Source organism: Homo sapiens, chromosome 1, assembly GCF_000001405.40.
Source record: "Homo sapiens chromosome 1, GRCh38.p14 Primary Assembly".
Classification (NCBI taxonomy): domain Eukaryota; kingdom Metazoa; phylum Chordata; class Mammalia; order Primates; family Hominidae; genus Homo; species Homo sapiens.
The window spans coordinates 23,595,555-23,615,446 of record NC_000001.11 but is presented as its reverse complement, the minus strand read 5'-3'; the positions used below and the strand labels follow the sequence as shown (position 1 = coordinate 23,615,446).

Below are 19,892 nucleotides of genomic sequence, written 5' to 3'. Positions count from 1 at the left end.
GTGAGAGCCATGACCTCCAGCAAGTCCTGTGCCTCCTGGAACCTCCGTCTCCTCCTCTATGAACTCAGGATAAGGACATCTATTATATTATCTTCATCTCCATTTTACAGGTGAGAAACAGATTAGATCAAGGCTATCCAGTTGCAGAGCCCACGAGCTGAGCCATGCACTGTGGTTCTGCTGGAGCAGATGAGATGTATGAGTTCCCTGCAAACCCTCCTGTTTGTCTCAAGAGTGGGAGCCATGAAAAGCACCCCAAGAGTAGGGGGGAGACTTCATGGGAGCAGCCCTCAGAGAGACCCAGAAGATGCTCCTGTGCTCCTACCCAGAAATTCAGTCTCTTAAGGACCTTAGAGACAGTTTCATTCATGCATTAGTGAGGAGCGATGCCTACAACTTGCAAATGGAGAAACTGAGTTCAGAAAGGAGGGAGTGACTTGTCCAAGGTCACACCACAAGCTGGTGGTAGAAATCCCTCCAGAATGCAGGCATCCCAACATCTGGTTTTGTCCATTTCTCCATTCCCCTGACTCCTCACAAATGACTTGTCCCCTTGTCCCCAGCATGGTGATCTCTACCGGTCCTGAGCATTTAATATGGGCCAGACTCTTCGCCTTACTCTGACTCTCCAAGCCACCCTATGAAGTGGTATCCAAAGGCAACTTACTTACTTAAATACATGGCTTATTGATAGTATGTTACAAAACACATAAAATAATAATTGATGTATCTGCATTTCATGACCACCCTATAAATTGCACAATTCCTATTTTACAGATGAGAAAATTAAGGCTCAGAGATGGGAAAAGACTGTCTCAGGGACACACAGCGAGCAAGCAACAGGGTGAGGATTAGTATCCAGGCATCTCTGACTCCAAAGCAGGGGTGTCTTGTCCACACCCCAAGCTGCTGTCAGGGAACAGATGGGAGAGCCTGCAAGGGGAGGTGAGAGGAAGGTGCTGAGCCCCAGTCATGAGCGAGGTGACAGTTATTGTAGTGGCTAAACAGGTGGCCCCTGAGATCAGGCTGCCTGGGCTGGAATCCTGGTCTACCACTCCTTAGCACTGTGCGTTCAGGCAAACCATTGGTCCGCTCTGAGCCTTGACTTCCTTATCTGTAAAATGGGCGTGGTAATAATATGCCACCCTCATTAGGTTCCTGGAAGGGTTAAATGAGTGTGTAGCCCATGGTACATGCAATGGAAGTGCTGCCTCTTATTTGTGTGGCATTCTGCAGTGACTGTCTCGTGTACTCTCAATAGTGCTTATAACTCTTACGGGTTCTGGAGCTAGCCACCTGGCCTCTGCTACCACTTCCTAGCAGGGCGGCAGAGCTTAGAGGGAGATTTAAGGTGAGGATGGTGAGGTTTAAGTCCTGGGTCCCTCATTGGCATGGCCTTGTACTTCATTATTTAAAGAGACCCCCCCGCCCTCAGTATTGTATAACCTTTACTGACATCCTGCCAAGCCTGGATCTGCCCCTGTGTGAGGAACTCTACCTCTCTGTGTGCCTCAGTTTTCTCATCTGTTAAGTGGGAAGAATGTTAATTGTGCCAAATAAATGAATTAATACGTGTAGAATGCTTTAAAAGTGCCTGGTGCATAGTAAATGCCCAATACCTATTGGCTTCTTAAGTAAATCTCCAGTGGTAAATGTGCTTAAGTGCTAGTAAACGTGTTAAATGCTTTCCATGTGTCATGTGGTTTCATTATTTTTAATCTTCACAACAAACCATCCCATTTTCAGAGAGGTGAAGTAACTTGCCCGAGGTGACAGACTGTGGAAGCCAAATGGGTCTGACTCCAGAGCCAGGCCCCTGACCACCGTGCCAGCTACTTCCCTGTTGATGAGGGTTCCCTCCCCTCCCCACTGGCAGCTGAACCTGGAGGACTCAGGTCACACCTCCAGCAGGTACTGTCTGCCAGGCCCAGGTCACCTGAAGGTGGCCTATGAGGCCCCTGCAGGAAAGAAGCCCCCATGTCCAGCTGGGCCCAGGCCCTGCCCCACCTCGCACCCTCATCCCTCCTGCCCCCTAGAGCTTCCTCCTGAGCTCCCGTCACCAGAGGCCCTGGCCCAGGTGGGGCGGGGGCTAACGGGTGACAATGACCGATTTAGAAAGTAAAGTTGCTTCTCAAACAAATAAGAAAGAAGAGGAAAGAAATGGCCTGCCCGCTTCCTGCCCCACTCTCTCTTCCAGCACCTGGGGCCCAGCTGCAGGCTTTTCACTGCTTGTTTGTTCATCCTGCCTCGAGAAGCCTCTTCTTGAAGCCCCAGGCCCCCTCCATATGGGCGTTGGGATAATTGTTGAGCCAGTGGAAATAAGCACCCTCCATGATTGTTGTATTGTCATCGTCTCCAGTATTGTTTTGGACAACAATACCAGTAATCATAACAATCTGGGTTTCCTGCGGTTGGGAGGGGGGGACTACCAGCTTCGACTTGGGAGAAGTCCCCCTGGCTCTGCAGTTTCTGAGATGTGGAGGCCTGAGCAGGTCATAACTCCTCTCTGGGCCTCAGTTTCCTTGTCTGCAAAATGGGGACAGGGTGATGGTGAGGGCTGAATGGGGCAAGCATGGCCTGTGAAGCATAGTGCATGGCCCTGGTGGGAACCATTCAGTTGATTACTATGAAAGCCAGGGTCACACAGAAGCAATTTTAAGAGCCTCCTCAGACAAGGTTGGAAAGCTCAGTGGACTCCAGGATACAATGCTTATAAAGCCCTTGGTGTGTTTCTAATAACTGCTCTGAGTGCTTTATGTATTATCATTCATTTCATCCTTACCACAACCAGATGAAGCAGATGCTATTGCTGTTCCTATTTCATAGATGAGGAAACTAAGATGCAGAGAAATGACTTGTCCAAGGTCAGCACAGCTGGTAGGTGCAATTGGGGATGTGGATGCAGCCTTTCCAGGTCCAGGATCGGTGCTCTAAGCTGCATACACTGCCCTGGGGTCAGGGTCTGGCTCTGAAGGGTCTGACTTGCCTCGCGATCGTGGACAAGTCATTTGCCTTCTAAGCCTCAGACTTCTTCTACAAAATGAGCAGCCCATGATACCTGCCTGTAGATGTTGTACAATCCTAAAGGAGAGTTGTGGTCAGATTAGCGACAATGTAGAGAAAGACAATGAATGAGTACACCAGGGGTTCAGGAAGCCATGGCTGACTGCGATCATTATTATTAGTTTTAAAGTCACAGGCAAGAGGCAGCCTAGAGGATGCTGAGGGCCCTGCCCAGCTTTGAAAGTCTAAATCCTGTGGTTGCAGCTGGGGAGTGACTCCGGGAGGCACCTGGTGAGAGGTGGCTCCACCCGTTGGGGCTAAAAAAATCCCTGAGGCTGCCACCGTGCAATCTGCCAGTCACCTGCTCCAACTAATGGCAAACTCTCCAACCCTGCTTCCCTGCCCCTACCCCCACCCCCTATGAGCTGTGTGGCCCTGGAGAAATCATCTGACCTCTCTAAGTTTCTGGAAAAAAACACTGACCTTGTAGAGCTTTGTTGGATTGGAAATAGTGCCTAGCAATAGGTAGTTGCTACCAGGTGATGAGAACCTGCACTTTGAGGCCCACTTGTGTTCCAGTCCTGGCTATGCTACTTCCTGTTGTGTGACCTTGGGCAGGTTGCTTAGCCTCTCTGAGACTCAGTTTCCACAACTGGAAAATGGATTAGCACAGCACCTGACACACAGTAGGTGCTTAAGTGCTAATGATTATTGTTGTGTATGGCCATTTATTGTATTTTTTTTTTTGGTTTTTGAAATGGAGTCTCACTCTGTCTCCCAGGCTGGAGTGCAATGATGCCATCTCAGCTCACTGCAACCTCTGCCTCCTGGGTTCAAGCAATTCTCCTGCCTCAGCCTCCTGAGTAGCTGGGATTACAGGTGTGTGTCACCACAGCCAGCTAATTTTTTTTTTTTTTGGAAATGGAGTCTCACTCTGTTGCCCAGGCTGGATTTGCAGTGGTGCGATCTTGGCTCACTGCAACCTCCACCTCCCAGGTTCAAGCAATTCTCCTACCTCAGCCTCCCGAGTAGCTGGGATTACAGGTGTGTGCCACCACACCTGTGTAATTTTTTGTATTTTTAGTAGAGATGGGGTTTCACCGTGTTAGCCAGGATGGTCTCGATCTCCTGACCTCGTGATCCACCCGCCTTGGCCTCCCAAAGTGCTTGGATTACAGGCATGAGCCACTGCACCCAGCATTTATTGTATTTTATAAGCATATCCAGAAGTCCTTTAAAGATCCTGAGGGTATTATGTTCTTTCTCATGCTGGATCTCTCTGTTTGCCCCTCTAGAACTCTCCTCTGCCCTTCCTCAACCTGTTCTGTACCTTGATTAGGTGACCTTTGTGGGTGACATCAATGGCCCCCATTGCCCTCTGGCTTCTGGCTGGGTGAGGCAAGAGGACAGAGGACAGGTGGCAAGTGGGGACTGGTATTTATTCCCCAGCCCCTTCCTACAGGGTTGCCACCTTGGCTGTGTCCCTCACCCGAAGCCTACAGCTCCTATCAGGCAGCCCTGTGCATACATCTCTGGCCATGGGTCCAGGTGACCTCTCCCTCCCCACCCTTCAGGCCACAGGTGGTAACAGCTCCTCATATTGCCTGCCAGCCCTGGGGTACTGCACCATTCCCCCTGGTTTTCCTAAACCTTGTCCACACCTTTGTTAGTAGTCCCTTCATTAAACTTTTTACAAATTACCCATTTGGTTATACCATCTGTTCCCTGCCAGAGCCTTGATCAGGGTTTATGTGGCATGTATCCTGTTGTTTTCACCTAGAACTCCAGGTATGGAAGAATAATAAAATTCTCACTGCAATTCACACTGCTTTCACATACATGTAGTCATCCACTTTATTAATTACTGCTGAGCATCTGCTGTGTGCCAGGCTGTATGCAAGGAATTAGGAGTAGAGATGACCAAGATATAGTTCCTGCCCTCAAGGAGCTCCTGGGCTAGTCAGAGAGACAGACCCTAAACAGACAACTACAATATAACTTCTAAAAGCTGTAACAGGCCGGGTGTGGTGGCTCATGCCTGTAATCCCAGCACTTTGGGAGGCTGAGATGGGTGGATTGCTTGAGGTCTTGAACCAGCCTGGCCAACATGGTGAAACCCCATCTCCACCAAAAAACACAAAAATTAGTTGGGCATGGTGGCATGTGCCTGTAATCCCAGCTACCCAGGAGGCTGAGGCATGAGAATCGCTTGAACCGAGAGCGGAGGTTGCAGTAAGCCGAGATCACGCCACTACATTCCAGCCTGGGTGACAGAGCTATAAAAAAATAAAAGCTATAATAGAGACACATGCAAACCCTGTGACAAGGCAGGAGAGAAGCCACCAAACTCTGGGAGAGGCTGGGATGGCTGCATAGCAGAAGGATTTTTGAGCAGCATCTTTTTTTAAATTCTATTTTAGTAACATATTTAATCCAATGTCTCAAAATATTATCAATATGAAATATTATCCATTATAATAGATATAAAAATTCTTGAGATTTTAAAAGACATAGAAAAATGTCCAGGAAGCTTTCTGTGACTTTCTTGGGCAGAATTAGGCATTTCCATCATCACACATGGCTAGAGGTTGAGCAGCATCTGGGAGGTGGGAGGTGATGGTATTCTCCCATTTTACGGATGAGGAAGCAGAGACTCAGAAGAGTTAATCACTTGCCTGAGGTCACAGTAACTCCCTGGCAGAGCAGGATTCGAACCTGCTGTTGTGTCATTCCAAAGCCTGTCTCTCCTTGCTGCTCTGTCCACCTCTGGGCCCCTCCTCCCAGAAGGAAGCAGTTGACAAGGGCTGAAAAGTCAAAACTTAAACTGAAGTCTTCTGCCCCCAAGTCCCATAGTGTTCCTGCTATCAACCGACTCTAGGGGACAGACTGAGGGAAAGGCAGCAACCCTCCAAACTGGGTTCCATTTTTATTTTTATTTATTTATTTTGAGACAGAGTCTCGCTCTGTCGCCCAGGCTGGAGTGCAGTGGCACGACTCAGCTCACCGCAACCTCCACCTCCCAGGTTCAAGCGATTCTCCTGCCTCAGCCTCCCAAGTAGCTGGAACTACAGGCGCCTGCCACCACACCCGGTTAATTTTTGTATTTTTAGTAGAGACGGGGTTTCACCATATTGGCCAGGCTGGTCTCGAACTCCTGACCTCAGGTGATCTGCCCTCCTCGGCCTCCCAAAGTGTTGGGATTGTAGGCGTGAGCCACTATGCCCAGGCTTAAATTGGGTTCTGACCCCTATTCTTCTTGGGTCTCTGAGGTGGCATGGAGTAGGTTGCAGAAGATAACTGGCGACTCAAGGTCAGTTGTAAAATTCTCTTTTAGCAGATGAGAGGGTTGTTCATGGGTGAAGGTACAGGCTGTACTGGATGGTGGGGAGAGGAAGGGAAAGTAGACGAGGCAGGAAAAGTGGCCAGTGGGTCATCTTGGCATCTTTGCCAGTGTCATGGTCAGCAATTCCCTCCTCACCAAAACATCCAGAAACACCCACTCCCGAGCCTCGTGTAGTACGCAGAGTTCACAGTGAATTAGTCACCATCATCTTAACCCTGATAGTTGAGAAATTAAAATGTGTTGAGAAAGGTAAGACATTCTAATGGGCAGCTGACCCCAGGCTCTCATGTGGAGAGAGCCATAGGAGGGTTCTCTGGCCAACATCCATGCATTGGAGGGGAAACCAGAGCCCTGGAATCATGGAAGCAAGGAGCATTCGCTGGTATGTCCAGGCGTGTGTTTGGTGACTCCAGTGATGTGTGGTGCCAACAATAATTATCAGTAGCTAATTATTCGCTGACCTCTTCACTTTAACAATTATTCATCCCCCCATCAAATCATCTGTCCATAGCCTACACAGCCATCCACCTCTCAATTCCTTCATTCATCCATTCATTCATTTTCTCCCCATTCCCCCATCCATCCTCCACCATTGACTCTGCACATGGTCCTGTGCTGGATGCCTGACATGCAACTACAAGACTCAGATCTTGCCTTCAAACCTGGTGAGGTATTCAGACACTTAGTCTAAGCAAGAGAGGTAAGTGCGGTGATGGAGTGTTCTAGGAGGGGCAGTGAGAGCTCCAAGGAGGAAATGCCTAATTCTGCTGGAGGGAGTCAGAAAAGGCTTCCCGGAGGAAGGAACACTGCAGCTGGTCTTCATAGAGGAGCAGGGGCTCATGAAGCCAGAAGAAGGAAGCCTGGCTGATGAGATGGGCAGCGATTCAGACCAGCTAGGGACACAAAAGAACTTGTCACAGAAGCCGATGGGAGGAAATCAAGGAGAACTGGCCTCTAGCCAAGATTTCACCCCAGGTTCTCAGCAGGAGTGACTTAGGAATGGTGTCAACTTGGAAGTTTGCACCATTTTTACCTGGCCTTGCCTTCTCTTGGCACAGTGCAGTCTCCAGGACATCAGACCTGAGGAGCATCCAAGTTAGTCCCCTTATTTCAAGTCAGGGAAACTGAGGCCTGAAGTGGCGATGAGACATGCCAAAGTTACACAGAGAGTTAGGGGATCCAAACCCAGGTCTCTTACTCTCAGGCTAGTGTACTGTCCACTGGAGTCTCCCTCCCCCATCCGGAGCACACACTAGATTCTAAACACTCACAACCCCTCAGTGGCTGGCATAGTGCTGGGCCCAGAGAAAGTGACCTCTCCTACTTCCACTGGGTACCTGCCCTGTCCCCACAAATAATCAGATTGATAGAACTCATTCACACTCCCTCTATTCTCCCATTTAATCCCCATAACAGTCCCAGGGGACTGGAATTACTATTCCTTTTTGCAGATGGGGAAAGAGGGCAGAAGGGGCTTGCCCAGAGTCACCCAGCTCAGACTGGGGAACGGGTTTGCCCAGAGTCACACAGTTCAAATGCAGCAGAGCCAAGGTCCTGACTATACCCTGTACTTGATCTAAGACCCTAGGTGGCACTCACATAGCCTTGAATGTTCTGGCCCCCAATGGACCCTGTGCCATTGAAGTCAGGGACTGTGGACAGGTATGTTCTGCAGGGACAGAAACCAAACCAGGGAACAGGGCTGGGAGGTGGGGGAAGGACTCAGGAAAGGAAACCTTGTTTTCACCTGTAACCTGCTCTGCCCCGCCCAGCAGTGGAAAATGTGTGTCAGGGGAAGCTGCTGCCTGGGGACCAGGCAGGTGTGCGTGGGCAACAGTGTGTGGAGGGGGCGCCACGGGAGGGCAGGATGTGCTGGGGTTGGGGGCAAGGTCAGGGGTGCTGGAGCAGGGTTCAAGAACCTAGAGTAAGACTCTCACTTCTGGGCCAGGCGTGGTGGTTCACGCCTGTAATCCTAGCACTTTGGGAGGCCAAGGCGGGTGGATCACGAGGTCAGGAGATCGAGACCATCCTGGCTAACATGGTGAAACCCCATCTCTACTAAAAATACAAAAAAATTAGCCGGGCGTGGTGGCACATGCCTGTAGTCCCAGCTACTCGGGAGGCTGAGGCGGGGGATCGCTTGAATACGGGAGACAGAGGTTGCAGTGAGCCGAGATCATATCACTGCACTCCAGTCTGGGCGACAGAGCGAGACTCTGTCTCAAAAAAAAAAAAAAGACTCTCACTTCTAGAAGGATGGGCACACTGTCCTATGAAAGCTGTCCCCAACCTCTACATCCCAGACCTTCTTGGCCTCAGCCAATTCTCTGCTCAGTGGGTCATTCAACAAGCGTGCATTGAGCACCTGCTGCATGCTAGGACCCAAGGATGCAGAATAGCCCCTTTCCTACCCAGAGAAGAGTACAGTCTGGAAGAGACAGGCAAGGCAGAGAGCTCCAATACCATGTGGGTAACACAATCCAGCGAGAGGCTGAGTCAGTGGTCAGGGAGGCATTCTGGAGGCCAGTAGGCCAAGCAGGTAATAATAACCACTCTAGGCCACTCATGGAGGCCCACACCCGTTATCCTAGCACTTTGGGAGGCTGAGGTGGGAGGATCACTTAAGGCCAAGAGTTTCAGACCAGCCTGGGCAACATTGCGAGACCCCATCTCTACAAAAAATTTAAACATTAGCCAGGTGTGGTGTCATGTGCCTGTAGTCCTAGCTACTGTGGAGTCTGAGATGGGAGGATCACCTGAGCCCAGGAGTTTGAAACTGTAGCGCACAATGATCGTGCTACTGCATTCTAAAATCATCCCTATCTCTAAAATAATATAATAATAATAACCACTTTTGTGTGCTTACTACAAGCCAAATTAAAGAGCTAAGGCCCCGTAAGGCTTTTTAATACCTTTCCATCCTCAAACAACCCTGTGAGCTAGGAACTGCTAGTATTCCCCTTTTACAGTTGAGGAAATTGAGGCATTGAGAAGGGAAGAACTTGCCCAAGTTCTCACTGCTAGATGCTAGGAAATGGCACGGCCAGGACTTGAAACCAGGCGGTCTGCTCTTACCTACTCCACTAAGGAAGGGGAAGTGGGAGCTGGTGTTGGGAGAAAAGGCGGGGGGGAACATGGAGGGAGCAACCGGAGGAAAAGCCCAAACAGAAGATGATGTGCTGGAGCCGAGAGGGGAGGGGAGGGAAGTCGCTGAGTGGAGGGGCCAGGGAGCAGCCAGAGCCCAGGCAAAAAGCCCCTCAAAGCATTGCCGTGGGAATGGGGACCTATACACGGTTGTTCCAGAGAAGAGCCCCCCCTTAGAAGTGGTGATCAGTGGGGGCCCAAACAGACAATTACATGTGATTTAATTTTTTTTTTTTTAGACGGAGTCTCGCTCTGTCCCCCAGGCTGGAGTGCAGTGGCGGCATCTCGGATCACTGCAAGCTCCGCCTTCTGGGTTCACGCCATTCTTCTGCCTCAGCCTCCCGAGTAGCTGGGACTACAGGTGCCCGCTACAATGCCTGGCTATTTTTTTTGTATTTTTAGTAGAGACGGGGTTTCACCGTGTTAGCCAGGATGGTCTAGATCTCCTGACCTCGTGATCCACCCGCCTCGGCCTCCCAAAGTGCTGGGATTACTGGGCGTGAGCCACTGAGCCCGGCCTTTTTTTTTTTTTTTGAGACAGGGTCTCGCTCTGTCACCCAGACTGGAGTGTGGTGGCATGATCTTGTCTCACTGCAACCTCCGCCTCCCGGATTCAAGCGATTCTCCTGCCTCAGCCTCCCAAGTAGTTGGGACTATATGTGTGCACCACCACGCCTGGCTAATTTTTGTATTTTTAGTGGAGATGGAGTTTCACCATATTGGCTAGGCTGGTCTCAAACTCCTGACCTCAGGTGATCCACCCGCCTCGGCCTCCCAAAGTGCTGGGATTACAGGCGTGAGCCACTGCGCCTGGCCTGATTTAGATGCTATTAGTTTCCTAGGCTGCTATAACAAAGTACCACAAGCTGGGAGGCCTAAACCAACAAAAACGTTTTCTCTCCCAGTTCCAAAGACCTGAGATTGAAATCCAGACGTCTTCAGGGCTGTGCTATCCCTAAGAATCTGAGTAGAGTCCTTCCTTGCCCCTTCCTAGCTTCTGGTGGTGGCCGTCAGTTCTTGGCATTCCCTGGTTTTCGACAAACACCCCTCCAGTTTCAGCCTCCGTCATCTTGTGGCATTCTCCCTGTGTGTCTCTCTCCTCTTCGTATAATGACACCAGTCATATGGGATGAAGGGCCCATCCTGCTTCAGTATGACCTCATCTGAACTAATTATACCTGCCACGACCTTATTTCCAAGTAAGGTCACATTCTGAGGTACTACGGGTTAGGACCTCAACATATATTTTGGGGGGACACAATTCAACCCATAAAATGTCATTAAAGGACTTTTCATATAAACAAATGTCAAATCTGAAAAACTTCTATGCAGTTCATGTGTCCCAGTTTGATGTTCAGAAAATATAGCCTCAATATATCTGTCCACTACACTAGAACTTTACCCTAGTGGGTACTAAATGAAGGTTTGAGAAATACTTGACTTGTGGTCCCCTAAGGCCCTGAGGTCTTTCCTTAATAAGCCCAAAGAATAGAATAAACATCTCCAGGGAACAAAGTCAAGCTGCCCTCTGTCCTGTATAGCCGGCAGGCAGTTGCTCCACTGACCCCCAGCCTCACCTTCTGCATGGGCACTAGCTTGGGGAAATAGCCAGTAGTGAAAAGGACAGAGGGACCTCAGCACCCTTGCTCACTGGATTAAGCGAACCCACAGTTCTCAGTCCTCTCCCTCGCTTCCCCATCCAAACAGGCTCAGTCTGCTCCATTCAGACAAATGCCCATCTCCATCCCTGCCATGTAGACCCGGTTCAGGCCTTTGCCTTTACCTCTGGAACTATTGCCTCAGTCTTCAGACTGATTTCCTTGCTACCAGCAGGCAATCAGGTCACCCTAAATATGAATCTGATCACTTCTCTCACTGCCATAAAACTTTCGATGGCTCCCTATTGCTTTCAGAATAAAGTCCGTATTCCTAAGCTTGCCATTTCAGGCTTTACAATTTGGTCCCCAGGCTTGTTTTTCATGATTTCTCTACATGTGCTCTATCTTACAGGTAATGGAGTTTCTGGAATTTCTAATTAAAAGAGACTCCGTTGGTGGTGGGTGAGGGGTGCATTCTGATTAGAAGGGGACACAGTGGGGAGGCATGTCTTTTTTTTTTTTTTTTTTTGAGACCAAGTCTCATTCTGTCACCCAGGCTGGAGTGCAGTGATGTGGTCTTGGCTCACTGCAACCTCCGCCTCCCAGGTTCAAGTGATTCTCCTGCCTCAGCCTCCTGAGTAGCTGGAATTATAGGCATGTGCCACCACACCCAGCTAATTTTTGTATTTTTAATAGAGATGGGGTTTCGCCATGTTGTCCAGGCTGGTCTCAAACTCCTGACCTCAGGTGATCCACCCGCTTCAGCCTCCCAAAGTACTGGGATTACAGGTATGAGCCACCATGCCTGGCCGGCACGTCTTGAAGTTGTCTTTATAAACAACTTCTGAGCTTGGCTGTGCTTTTTTTCTGCGTCTACATCTTAGCATATGCTGGTCCCCCTACATGGAATGGTCTCTCCGCAACTCCATTCTGATTCATCCCCCCAATCACATAACCAAAATAACTCACCTCTCCCTGCTCCAAAGACAGAGTATTTGGGGGCTGGGTGTGGTGGCTCACGCCTGTAACCCTAGCACTCTGGGAAGATTGCTTAAGCCCAGGAGTTTGAGACCAGCCTGGGGAACATAGTGAGACCTCATCTCTACAAACATTTTTTAAACATAGCTGAGTGTGGTGGCACGCACCTATAGTCCCAGCTACTCAGGAGGCTGAGGTGGGAGGATTGCTTGAGCCGGGGAAATGGAGGCTGTAGTGAGCAATGATCACGCCACTGCACTCTGGCTTGGAAACATAGTGATACTGTCAAAAAAAAAAGTATTTTGTTTGAACTTTAGGAAGCTTATCCAAGTTCACTTTGTGTCAACTAGAGGACAAACTTTCCTTAGAGCTAGGTTCCTATCCCCAGGCCTATGGCTAAACGGCAGGAAGATGAGGTAAGGAAAGTGCTAGAAAGGAGACCTGGCTGCTAATTGTACTTTGTCAGTGTCTTGCTGCATGGCCTCAGGCAAGTCACTTTCCCTCCTCAGTTTCCTCTCTGTAGAGTGGGATGTTGGGAAAGACACCAAGCAGTGTTGGAAACATGAACTACATTTCTTCTTTCATCCCAGGTCTGGCCAGACCTTGGTCCTGTGAACGAGAGCCTCTGGGGTTCTTATTTTGTGTTAATTTGCATGCATCTGCACATACACTAAAAAAGGCATCAACTACATTTCATTTCATAGAAAGAACTGGGACTGCCATATAACCGATGCCCAGGAGTGTAAAAGAACCGTTGGCTCATGGTGCCATCCAAATCTTAGCTGTCACAGGCCTTTAGTAATTAATGCTCCAACCCCTTCCTTTTACAGGTGGGTAACTGAGGCTCAGAGAGGGAAAGGTCACACAGCAAATGAGCACAAGGCCTCATCCCAGGCTTCCCACTGTACACCAGGCGCATGCACTAGACACCTCATTTCTTTCTCTGTGCAGGGTGGAAGAAGAGGGGCTTGGCTTTCTTTTGAGGCTCTTTTCTGCACCCCAGAATAACAAAGCTGGCTGGCTCGGCAGTCTCTGCAACCACCACAGGAAACCAAATTGTAGTAGAAAGGCAGATGGGAGTGGAAAATCCTCTCAGAGATGTTAGATCGTTGCTTTCACCTGTTCTAAATATAATCTGGCTTTTATTAGAGATTGATAAATGACAAGATAACCCACAAGTTATTCCACTGAGGCTGGGGAGAGGAGAGAGCGTGATTCTGGGTGAGCAAAAGGGGAGCTGGGAGTCACTGCGGGTGACTGAACAGAGTGGTCTGGACCCATCGAGTCTCAGTATTTGGCAACATGAACAGAGGGCCAGTTCTGGCAGGCACTGGAGGCTGGAGGCTGGAGGCTAGTAGGCTGTCGGCTGTAGGAACCCTAAGGAACAAGACAGGCCTGGATGCTGCATTTAGGCGCTCCTGATCTCTAGAGGGGGTAGACAGACATAAAAGTCAACAAATAAAATAATTACAAAGTGCTATGAAGGAAACAGTGCTGAGAAAGACTGACAGGGAGCCAGGTGTGGTGGCTGATGCCTGTAATCCCAGCACTTTGAAAGACTGAGGCAGGTGGATCATGAGAGGTCAGGAGTTCAAGACCAGCCTGACCAACATGGCAAAACATTGTCTCTACTGAAAATACAAAAATTAGCCAGGCATGGTGGTGCATGCCTGTAATCCCAGCTAATAGGAAGGCTGAGGCAGAAGAATCGCTTGAACCGGGGAGGTGGAGGTTGCAGTGAGCCGAGATTGTGAAACTCTGTCTCAAACAAAAAAAAAAAGCACAAAAAACTGACAGGGGAGATTTACTTTAGCTGGGATGGGCAGGGAAGCCTCTGGAAGGAGGGAAGATATAAGCTGAGACCGGAAGGGTGAGAAGAAGCCAGCCCAGCAAAGAAAGAGCGGAAGAGCATCTCCAGGAGAGTGAGTTTGGTGGCTCAAGAAACTAAAAAGCCAGCGCACATGGGGAAAAGGGTGTAGACGTGCAGGAGGAGGCTGGAAGAGGGCAAGGCCAGATGTGTGCTGGCTTTAAGGATGTGCATAGGCTTCTGGTTTGATTCCAGAGCGGTGGGAAGCTACTGAAGCAAGGTTTTCAGCAGTGAAACTGGGGGATGTGGTTTGCCTTTGAAGAAGCCTGTTCTTTTTTTTTTTTTTTTTTTGAGATGGAGTCTTGCTCTGTCGCCTGGGCTGGAGTGCAGTAGCTCCAACTCTGTTCACTGCAAACCTCCGCCTCCAGGGCTTAGGCAATTCGCCTGCCTCAGCCTCCGGAGTAACTAGGATTACAGGCGCCCGCCACCACGCCCAGCTAATTTTTGTATTTTTAGTAGAGACAGGGTTTCACCATGTTGGCCAGGCTGGTCTCGAACTACTGACCTCAGGTGATCTGCCCGCCTCGGCCTCCCAAAGTGCTGGGATTACAGGCGTGAGCCACTGTGCCTGGCTTGAAGAAGCCTGTTCTTGACTGCTGTGTGGGATAAGGATTAGAGGCAAAGGCCGCAAGAAGGCAAGTTAGGCAACCGACGTGGCATCCAGGCAGGAGTGATGGCAGCCTGGACTAAGATGGGAAAACAGAGAGAACAGAAGATGGATTACAAACATGTCCTTGAAACAAAAGTCACAGGAGCTGCAGATGGATGGGATGAGTGGTGGGTTAGTGTGGAGGGTACTGGAGGGGACACACAGGTTTCTGGCCTGAGCGCCTGCAGGGTGTTGGTGCCATTTCCTAATCAGGGGAACCTGCAAGCAGGAGGGTTGGGTGTGGGAATCTGGTTTGGGGCATGTTCATTTGAGAAGTCTGCAAACCACCGAGAATCTGCCTGGGGGCAGCTCCAGAGGCCGTAGCAGTCTCTGGTCATTTGATGAAACAGGTTATTTCCTCATTTCCTCCCCGTATGAATGGTGAGCTCCAGGGCCAGGGACCAACTCTGCTTTGTTTTATAGCCCCAGCAGAGAGGAACGTGCCTTGCACTATGTAGATGCTCACGGAAGAGTTGGTGGATGAATGAAGCCGGAAGCTAGACCACCAGCTGAATGAATCAGCTCACAGACATGGTGATGTTTCTTCTGTTGTTGTTTGTTTGTTTGTTTTTGAGACAGAGTCTTGCTCCATCACCCAGGCTGGAGTGCCGTGGCACCATCTCGGCTCACTGCAACCTCCGCCTCCTGGGCTCAAGTGATCCTCTCACCTTAGCCTTCCAAGGAGCTGGGACTACAGGCACTCTCCTGACCTCAAGTGATTTGCCCACCTTGGCCTCCCAAAGTGCTGGGATTACAGGTGTAGGCCACCGTGCCTGGCATTTTTTTTTTTTTTTTTGAGAGGAGTCTCGCTCTGTCACCCCAGGCTGGAGTGTAATGGCGTGATCTCGGCTCACTGCAACCACCGCCTCCCGGGTTCAAGCGATTCTCCTGCCTCAACCTCCCGAGTAGCTGGGACCACAGGCAGGTGCCACCACGCCCGGCTAATTTTTGTATTTTTAGTAGAGATGGGATTTCACCATGTTGGCCAGGCTGGTCTCGAACTCCTGACCTCAGGTGGTCGACGTGCCTCGGCCTCCCAAAGTGCTGGGATTAGAGGCGTGAGCCACCGCGTCCTTCCTGTTGCTGATTCATTCACACCTATCATTTAAGACTCAGCTCCTCATAAAGTCTTCCTCATCTATAGTACTGGCTGGCCATGCCCTCCCCACTCCATGTTGACTTCATCAGCACCTATAATAACTTTATTTATTGAGCACTTTCTGTATGACAGGCATAAACTAAATGCTTTACAAGTATTAAATAATTTCGTCCTCACAACAATCTTATGCAGTGGGCAATTATTGCCTCCACTGTACAGACTTTGGAAACTGAGGTGCAGAAAGGTTAAATAATTTGCCTAAGACCACACAACCAGCAAGTGGCAGAGCTGGGAAATGAACCCAGGCAGCCTGGCTCCAGAGCCACATTTTTGGCCACTGTGTCCAAATGCTGCAGTCAATTGCATGCTGCATGTCTGTTCGTTTGTCTGTCTCATTTAAGAGCAAGAACTTGTGTCTCCTTATCCTCAATACCCCAAACAGCAGCTGGCACACAGTAGGTGCTAAATCAAGTCTGCCTTAACAGAAGCCAGCTTATAACCTTCTTCTTTGGATAGAAGGAGAAAGAGCTCCAGGGGAGAAAATGCTCTTCATTTTATGGTATTTTGCAACCATCTATCCTACATGATCATATTCATTTTCACAATAACCTCTGCTAGGCATGGGTTATCAGACCCCCCTGTCCAGTGAGGAAACTGAGGCCCAGAGAGGCTAAGAAACTTTCCTAAGTCACTCAGCTGATAGTTGGTGGAAAGGGTACGGAAACCCAGGTCTCCTGACTCCAAGCCCAGTGCATCCCTTAGCCAGGGAAGATGTAGCTGAACCCAAACCCAGTCCAAGGGGACTGGAGGCCCTGCCAGGTCAGGGGTCATAAATCACCCCCTCCCCCAGCGTGGTCAGGGAGGCTTTGGGGACAGAGGCCTGCTTCCCGTCCTCTCAGCCCTCAGGGTCTAACACCTCTTCAGAGCAGGAAACTCTTCCTTGTCACAGAGCTCTGGTCCTCCTTCCCCCCCTCCCCCTAACACTCCACACCACTCCCCTCCCTATCCCCCTCGAGGGTCCTGGTAAAAGCATCCGCTTGTCAGTGTAAATCTGCAGGGTTCAGACCAGCAGCTGGAGATGGATGGGCAGGAAGCAGTAACAATGGATGAAAGACCCTCTGTGCCCAGGTGGGTGGGGGAGGGAAAGGCAGGAAACAGAGAAACCGCCTGCCTATGGAGGCCTGGAGCCGCCAGCCGGCTGGAGGGAGGCCTGGGATGCCAGAACCCGCAGGGTTTATTTGGATTCCCCAAGGATCCAAGCTGGGGAGCCCTTTGCAAACATCAGACCAGCTCATCTCCATGGGGTGCCAGGCCCAGGACCTGTGCGACAAGAATGTCGCTTTCATTCATCATTGTTTGTCCCCAGGGCCTAAACCAGGGCTGGCTACACAGTAGGGGCTTGTTTTGCTGAATGAAAAAATTAATCTGGCACTACTAATAACTAAATAATTATAGTTTCATATTGATTTGCTTGTTTAGAAAAATAAAAAGGATTCCCAACCATCCCTTTTCCCCCTCACAGCTTTTTGCATATGCTGTTCCTTCCGCCTGCCGTGCTCTTTCCTCTGCTTTTTGCAAGGTCAGCTCCTTCTCATCCTCTAGTTGCAGCTCAAATAAAACTCTTCAGTGAAGCTCTGGGAACCTGCTAAGGTAACCCACTTTCCCTTTCCCCCTCTAACCCAGCACTGGGTGATTTCCTTCATGACACTTATTATCAGAGATCCTCTCATTTAATATGTATCTTTATTTTTGAACTTCCTGTCTCTCCCACCAGAATGTAAGCTCCAAAAGGGCTTCTTGCTCATTGTTGCATCCCCAGGGCCAAGGACTTAGAAAATGCTCCATAAATAGTCGTTAACTAGATAAAGAGACGAACACTTGAATCCCTGTAATAATGTCATTCACACCCTAGGCTCTGCCATCTGCTTCCTTGAGGAGAACAAAAGGAAGTCTTGCTCTTGCACTGAGGATTGTAAGCCCCAACCCACAGTGAGCTGCTATTTCCTGGGTCAACAATTGTGATGGTTGCAAATCATTTTAGGGCTTTGCTTTCCACACAACAATTTTTGAGTTTCATCAAAATCTGGGTGTGTACATGGTGGGGAGGCCAAGCATGGCAATGTTCCCTGTCTGTCCAGCATGCCACTATGGACACGGGTGGATGGGGCTAGTTCTGTTACCAGAAAGGGGTCCCAATCCAGATGCCAAGAGAGGGTTCCTGGATCTTGCACAAGAAAGAATTTGAGGTGAATCCATACAGTAAAGTGAAAGCAAGTTTATTAAGAAAGTAAAGGAATTAAAGAGTGGCTACTCCATACGTAGAGCATCCCTGAGGGCTGCTGGTTGCCCATTTTTATGGTTATTTCTTGATTATATGCTAAACAAGGGATGGATTATTCATGAGTTTTCTGGGAAAGGGGTGGGCAATTCCTGGAACTGAGGATTCCTCCCTTTTTTAGACCATATAGGGTAACTTCCTGACATTGCCATGGCATTTGTGTTTAAATTGTCATGGTGCTGGTGGGAGTGTAGCACTGAGGATGACCAGAGGTCACTCTCATCGCCATCTTGGTTTTGGTGGGTTTTGGCCGGCTTCTTTACTACAACTTGTTTTATCAGCGAGGTCTTTATGACCTGTATCTTCTGCCAACGTCGTATCTCATCCTGTGACTAAGAATGCCTTAACCTCCTGGGAAGGCAGCTCCGTAGATCTCAGCCTTATTTTACCCAGCCCCTATTCAAGATGGAGTTCCTGGTTCAAATGCCTCTGACAGTTCCATCAAACCTATTCATTTCCAAGGTAAACCAGGGCCCAGAAGTGCCAAGGTCACACACACACACATCAATCCAGAGCTTTACCAGCAGAGAGCTCAGTAGAGCTGCAGATTCACTGAGTCCTGATTCACTCTCTCATTCATTCATCATTCGTTTGTTCATTCATTTAACAAATACTTACTGGGCACCTATTATGGGCCCACCACTGTGCTAGCAATAGCCAAAGGCTCAGAGACTCGAAGGAACTAAGTAAAAGGCCCAGCCTACCTGACATAACTACTTCAGTGACTGGGCTTTGCCAAGTGTGAGAGCTGTCATGGGGTGGGGGAAGAAGCATTCCAGTGTCTTAGAAGGCAGAGAGATTCAGTCTGGGAAAGGCTAAGCTTGGGGGCTGGACAGACAGAATCCAAAATGGAGGAAAGTGTTGGCCATGACTAAGAAGCCAGCTTAGCCCTGCTTCTACGCCTGCTGTCGCCAGCCTGGGTTGCACTGGTACCCAGAAACTACCTTTAAGTAAAGTTGTTTGTGCTGTCCCAACAGTGTGGGACCCAGTCAACAGAGAAGGTCAAAGGCTACTCATTCACCCAGGAAACTCATATTAAGCACCTATTATACACTAGACCCTGTGCTTGGCACTGAACTTCCCATGGTGAAGGCGACACAGTCTGAGGCTTTGTCAGTTTGTGCCACATGTGTTATTCCAATTTTTTTTTTTTTTTTTTTTTTGGGATAGGGTCTCCCTGTCACCCAGGCTGGAGTGCAGTGGTGTGATCATAGCTCACTGCAGCCTCAAACTCCTGGGCTCAAGCAATCCTCCCTCCTCAGCCTCCTGAGTATCTGGGACTACAGGCATGTGCCACCATGCCCACCTAACTTTTTTTTTTTTTTTTTTTTGTAGAGAGAGGGTCTCGCTATGTTGCCCAGGCTGGCCTTGAACTCCTGGCCTTAAATGATCCTCCCACTCGGCCTCCCAAAGTGCTGGGTTTACAGGCATGAGCCACTAGGCCCAGCCCCTGTTAGTACATTCTTGTACTGCTATAAAGGAATACCAGGGACTGGGTAATTTATAAAGACAAGAGATTTTTATTTTGTTTTGTAAAATGACGATAGGGACTTTGTTTTGTTCATCTTTTTGTGTTCCTGGTGGCTTGGAACAGAGCCAGGCACCATAGAAACCATTCAACAAATACTTGTTGAGAGAATGAATGAATGAATGAATGAATGCCATTAGGTGAGAACAAGATTGTCAGAGTCACTTTAGGAAATGCAGTCAGAGCCAGGGGGATGATGGCCTGGAGGAAGACGAGCTGAGGACAAGGAGAGGACATTGGGTGGGTGAGAGGGTCAGAGCAGGGGGCAGTGACATTCAGGTAAAGAAAGTTCCGGCCAGGCGCGGTGGCTCACGCTTGTAATCCCAGCACTTTGGGAGGCCGAGG

At 49.4% G+C, this 19,892-nt stretch overlaps 6 annotated features.

Annotated features, from left to right (window-relative positions):
- Positions 2,578-2,627: an enhancer, noted in NCBI's record as "active region_371". NCBI's record gives its function as "activates an Ori minimal core promoter by ATAC-STARR-seq in GM12878 lymphoblastoid cells {active_cell/tissue: GM12878}" and the evidence as "EXISTENCE:reporter gene assay evidence [ECO:0000049][PMID:35858748]".
- Positions 14,244-14,303: an enhancer, noted in NCBI's record as "active region_370". NCBI's record gives its function as "activates an Ori minimal core promoter by ATAC-STARR-seq in GM12878 lymphoblastoid cells {active_cell/tissue: GM12878}" and the evidence as "EXISTENCE:reporter gene assay evidence [ECO:0000049][PMID:35858748]".
- Positions 14,669-15,466: an enhancer, noted in NCBI's record as "H3K27ac-H3K4me1 hESC enhancer chr1:23926471-23927268 (GRCh37/hg19 assembly coordinates)". NCBI's record gives its function as "activates a minimal SCP1, AML or CMV promoter by ChIP-STARR-seq in primed H9 embryonic stem cells {active_cell/tissue: H9 hESC(primed)}" and the evidence as "EXISTENCE:reporter gene assay evidence [ECO:0000049][PMID:30033119]".
- Positions 15,467-16,264: an enhancer, noted in NCBI's record as "H3K27ac-H3K4me1 hESC enhancer chr1:23925673-23926470 (GRCh37/hg19 assembly coordinates)". NCBI's record gives its function as "activates a minimal SCP1, AML or CMV promoter by ChIP-STARR-seq in primed H9 embryonic stem cells {active_cell/tissue: H9 hESC(primed)}" and the evidence as "EXISTENCE:reporter gene assay evidence [ECO:0000049][PMID:30033119]".
- Positions 16,265-17,062: an enhancer, noted in NCBI's record as "OCT4-NANOG-H3K27ac hESC enhancer chr1:23924875-23925672 (GRCh37/hg19 assembly coordinates)". NCBI's record gives its function as "activates a minimal SCP1, AML or CMV promoter by ChIP-STARR-seq in naive H9 embryonic stem cells {active_cell/tissue: H9 hESC(naive)}" and the evidence as "EXISTENCE:reporter gene assay evidence [ECO:0000049][PMID:30033119]".
- Positions 17,861-18,658: an enhancer, noted in NCBI's record as "NANOG-H3K27ac hESC enhancer chr1:23923279-23924076 (GRCh37/hg19 assembly coordinates)". NCBI's record gives its function as "activates a minimal SCP1, AML or CMV promoter by ChIP-STARR-seq in naive H9 embryonic stem cells {active_cell/tissue: H9 hESC(naive)}" and the evidence as "EXISTENCE:reporter gene assay evidence [ECO:0000049][PMID:30033119]".